The 5,244-nt window shown below is 44.1% G+C and overlaps 1 non-coding gene across 1 annotated transcript; it reads right to left on the bottom strand.

The window, feature by feature from the left end:
- Window positions 1-279: 279 nt before the first annotated feature.
- LOC124900294 (small nucleolar RNA SNORD60) lies at window positions 280-352 on the bottom strand. Its single transcript, XR_007062400.1, has one exon. It is a non-coding gene; the product is annotated as a small nucleolar RNA SNORD60 (small nucleolar RNA).
- Window positions 353-5,244: the final 4,892 nt, after the last annotated feature.

Here is a 5,244-nt window from a genome sequence, read left to right on the forward strand (position 1 = left end):
GCTCACCATCAGCCCACTGAGATGCTTATGCCCCTCACACCGCCTTCTACCTCGAACTCTATATTTCTATCAGGTGAGCCAACATCCTTCCAGCCACCCAACCGTGGAGTTACCTGCGGTCCTCCTTGCATTCTTTGCCAGCCCTGGAAATTATTTCATTCTTTTTGCTGCGAATCATGCTCAAGCCATTATTGCAGTTCTCCCAAACACTAACCTTCCAACTGCCTTGCCTCCCACCCCAAGTATCTCTCTTTTTTCTTCTTTTTTCTTTTCTCCCCCAAGCCTGTCTTGCAAGACTGCAAGTGCAGCTTTCATATGAGGTGTCAGAAATTAAAGCAATTCATCACAACCTCTGAAGTGTCTATTTTTTCTAACACAACTGCCTGGTCCATCTTCCTAAATTATAACATACAATTCCCAAATTCAAAAGCTACTGTCAGCCCCCACAGCCACTTCTCACATTGCTCTGTGTAGAGTTCAGTCTCCTTCTCTTGGCATCTGAGCCCCTTGTAAGTCTTGTCCCAGCCATTTTTGCAGCTTTATTTCCTACTCCCCTTCACATGGACTGCATATTTCCTCATAAATGGAGTATCTGCCACTACCCAAGCAGGCCCTGGACTTCCCTACCTCTAGGCCTTTGCTCACACAGGTTCTTCCCGAAGTACCCTTCCTCACTTTCCATCTCTATTTGTCAAAATCATTTGAGGCCCAGCTCTAATCCACCTGCCAGGAAGCCTTCCCAGATTCCTGCTTTTCTGTCATGCTCATTAAAACCATGGGCATACATGCCCCATCTTTTCACTAAACTATAAATTCCTTTAGAGAGCAGGCCATACCTCACCCACTGATGAATGAGTGCCACCCAGCCCATGCTACCGATGCAATAATTATTTGCTCTGATAAATTCATTTGCTGAAATAAAATCTCCTGGAGTCAATTCAAAACCTCCCCTGAAATTAACCTTGATCCCTTTCTTCCAATGTTCTCAAATTTTTCTTAGACCTAAATTTCCTCTTTTGAATTATCTAGGTAGACTTGCTAGGTGTCCGGTGACCACAACATCCATCTTGAAACTTCAGGAAAGAATAATAATCCAATTCAGATGAAATAATAGAATAATGTTACATGAAGGGATGTTTGAACTATAAAATGCCCAAAGGAGAAATGCTGCTTGAATATTTAATTAGCAGTGATGCAAGTGATATGGTTTGGCTGTATCCCCACCCAAATCTCATCTTAAATTGTAGTTCCCATAATCCCCACGTGTTGTGGGAGGAAATTTAATCACGTGGTAGGGGGCGGTTACCCTCATGCTGTTCTCGTGATAGTGAGTGAGTTCTCACGAGATCTGAGGTTCTCATAAGGGGCTTTTCCCCCTTTTGCTCTGCACTTCTCCTTGTTGTCACTATGTGAAGAAGGATGTGTTTGCTTCCCCTTCTGCCATGATTGTAAGTTTCCTGAGGCCTCCGCAGCCCTGCGGAACTGTGAGTCAATTAAACCGCTTTCCTTTATAAATTACCCAGTCTCCAGTATTCTTTATTAGCAGCATGAGAATGGACTAAGACAGTAAGAAACTGAAGGAGCCACAAGGAGAGCCACTCCTCCTGACATTTCAGTTCCCTGAAAGCTTGGGGTCTCCTGTTTCTATGGCCAGGGAAAGAGACAATTCATTTCCAGTGTAGAAATAGAAGATTTGCTAAAGTAAAATGAATTGGGCAAGTCGGCACATTGATAGGGTAGAGAGAGCCAAACAGACTCTGAACGGGACCAGCTTCAAGAGCGTGCAACTTGGGCAGGCGTGCACAGCCCAGTGCTCAGAACAGAGCACTGGCTTAATGCTTGACTGTTGCCATCTTGAAATTTCTAATTTTTGAACAAAGACCCCACATTTTCATTTTGCACTGGGCCCCACAGATTACACAGCCAGTCCTGGTCTGGGCCTTTGATGTCAGTCAGAGGACTGAAGGATGAAGAAGCACTGAGGAGGTGATATCAGTGAGCTGCCACATATCTAATGTCACTTGATTAGCACGGAGGGGAATTCTTGCCCTAAGGAAAAAAGTTACATATTTGCTAAAAAACGTGATTCAAGCTACTGCTCTTCTCTTTTGTAAGCCAGCCTGTGAAGACATTATAGGAAACTTTCTTGTCTAGAGGAGGGAGGAGTAGAATTTCCATTCAACTAAAGGTTTCCATGTGGAATCACAAGACCAATTAAAAGTTATAATATGCAAATGTCTCTGGCATGTATGCTCATAAATGTGTTTACAAATACTCCAGGGTGGCATGTCTTGACTGCAAATTATGCAGCCTCTAGTCTTTTGGAATATTTCTCAAAATTTCCTTTCAGAAAATGGCATTATATGGCCATAAATAGCTTACATCCACAACCTGCAAGTTTCCTTCAGTGGAATGTCTTAGTAAGGGATCATGTATGTCTATCACACCTGTGAAAGCATTTTTCTGTTAATTAGAAGAGCTAAGAAACCTACATTTTCTAGGCAAATGCCTGAACTGGAGAAACTACAGGGTTTAACTACAATATTTGTCTTGTGACTCATTTTGGCTTTGACAGTTTGACTACAATAATTATCACTTTCTTAGGCAATATTTAATGAAGATAATAAGATAATCCTGTGCACTACTGCACTTTCTCATTGAATCTTTTTAATCCATTATAGTAATGATAGAAAAAAAAAGTGAAGTTGTTATTAAGCTAACTCAAGACTGAATTTTTATATACGTTACCAAAAAAAAAAAGGTGCTTCATAATATATAATTTTAAAGTGCAGATATACCATATTTATTTGTGTAGTGGGATTTTAAAAGTTATCTGAATGAAAACACTAACATTCTCTTTTGGGGTGATGGGAGCTTGCTCTCATTATTTAGGAAAATATCTTGATCAGCTTCTTGTGGGGTTGAAGGAAAGATCCTCTCACTCAGGTTGACTTAGAACAAGTTAACAAGACACAGGTGAGCTGCTCTGTATGGGGGAGTCAAGGAGACGAGAGAAGCCAGGAGAGAAAGGTTGAAGGAGAGCACCCCAGGGACTTTGAAGCAGAGAATGGCTATTATAAGATTAAATTTCAAGTTGCAAATCAATTCTGTCTCCCCAACTTTCCTTCAAGTCCACCACCCCTACACATGCCTCCAGTGTGAAAATCAAGGGAGGGACAGAGTTATGCACTCAGAGTGGCTGTGAGCAGACAGACCCTTGGGGCCTGCCACAGCAAAAACTGGGATTTGCTGAAACCTCGGGGAACATGTCCAGATCCTGGGGCTGCCCTGAGTTTCATATGGCCTCTCCTTCAATATTACCTCTAATTTTCAAAAAGAAAATATGTTCCCCAGGAAATTCTCCCCAGTGAATTTTCTTTTTTTTTTAAGATGAAGTCTTGCTCTGTCATCAGGCTGGAGGGCAGTGGTGCGATCTCGGCTCACTGCAACCTCTGCCTCCCGGGTTCAAGCAATTCTCCTGACTCAGCCTCCTGAGTAGCTGGGATTACAGGTGCACGCCACCACCTCCAGCTAATTTTTGTATTTTTAGTAGAGGCGGGGTTTCACCATGTTGGCCAGGATGGTCTTGATCTCTTGACCTCGTGATCCACCCATCTCGGCCTCCCAAAGTGCTGGGATTACAGGTGCGAGCCACCGGGCCCAGCACTTTTTTTTTTTTTTTTTTTGAGACAGAGTCTGTCTCTGTTGCCCAGTCTGGAGTGCAGCGACATGATCTTGGCTCATGCAACCTCCACCTCCTGGGTTCAAGCGATTCTCCTGCCTCAGCCTCCCGAGTAGCTGGGATTACAGGCGTGCACCACCACATCTGGCCAATTTGTGTATTTTTAGTAGAGATGGGGTTTCACTATGTTAGCTAGGCTGGTCTCAAACTCCTGACCTCAGGTGATCTTCCTGTCTTGGCCTCCCAAAGTGCTGGGATTACAGGCATGAGCCACTGCACCCAGCCTGTTTTTAATGATTAGAGAGATCTACTATGACTGTCAACGGAGCTTCCCACTCCTGCTCTACCTCTCCCCCAAGGGAAGACTTTATCTTGAACAAGCCCACAAAAGATGAGAGAGGAAATGGCCCCCACCTCTGCAATGGGTGCCTTCTCTTCTCACTTTCTCAGTAGGAACTTCAAGCTGGTTAGATTTTCTGTACTCCCAAGCCCTATGGAAAAACTCTGCAAGAAACTGGGGGGAGAGCAACCACCAGCATCTTCTTCACTCAGGGTTAATTAAAGTCCTTAAGGCTCAGTCTTTCCTTCTCCCTTCTTCCCCAGCTGCTCCCTGGAAATCTTAAACACACTCACCGAGTGGGCCCTCTTCCTCAGCTTCCTCTCAACCACCCCATATTTAAAATGTGTTTTTTGAGCACCAACTCTGATTAAGGTACAGACCTAAGGCAGTCTTGCTTAAAAGCAATTTTTTTTTCCTTTTTAGGAAGAAATGGCTGAAAGAAGAGAAAAATATTGGAAAACTCACCCACTAGAGTAACTGTACTAAATAATCTTATCACTGTAACTTGCAAACAGCCTGAGGCTAAGGCCCCTTGCTCTAAACACCCATGACTCACCACCCACTGGTACACTCTAAAATCACCTCCTCTACATTTCTGGATGGTTCCTCTCTCTAGGGTCTGGGAGATGATGACCAAGTCCATTTCACTCCAAAACTGCATAACAAGATAGCCTGAGGTGAAATGGGTGGCTGAGGGTTTTTTGTACCTAGATGAAGAGAAACTGGGAAACTCGTTTCCATGTGTGAACAGTTTTCTTCCTGAGTGGGATGTGCCTGAATTTGCATTTTGATGTAATCTCTTCTTAGTTCTAGGGAAACGTGCCAAAGGTCCGTACGAAATCCATGGAGCAAAAAGACTTTACCAGAAAGGAGGGGTTTGAGAAAATGTGGCTTTGGAGTGCCACGTAGCACTGCATAATCATCCCAGATGCTGTTATTTTTGTGGGCAGAGCTGCCAACTCCGCAGGGTGTTGGTGCTAGGAAGGCATTTCCCTCCTAAGTGATGGTTGAAACTGCCTTTTGCCCATTCTTTCGTGTCTTACAGCGCTGCAAGTATGTTCTTAGAGCAACTGTTGGACCATGAGGATGGGATGTCGAGGTCTAGAGGAAGGATACACAAGGGTCGTTCCTCACCTCACCCCAACAGGGGAGACTCACCAAGACTCCAGGCTTACCTCTCCCAGCCAAGCCTGGAACAAAGGCAGGATTTAAGACCAGGTAA

This window comes from Homo sapiens, chromosome 10, assembly GCF_000001405.40.
Source record: "Homo sapiens chromosome 10, GRCh38.p14 Primary Assembly".
NCBI lineage: Eukaryota > Metazoa > Chordata > Mammalia > Primates > Hominidae > Homo > Homo sapiens.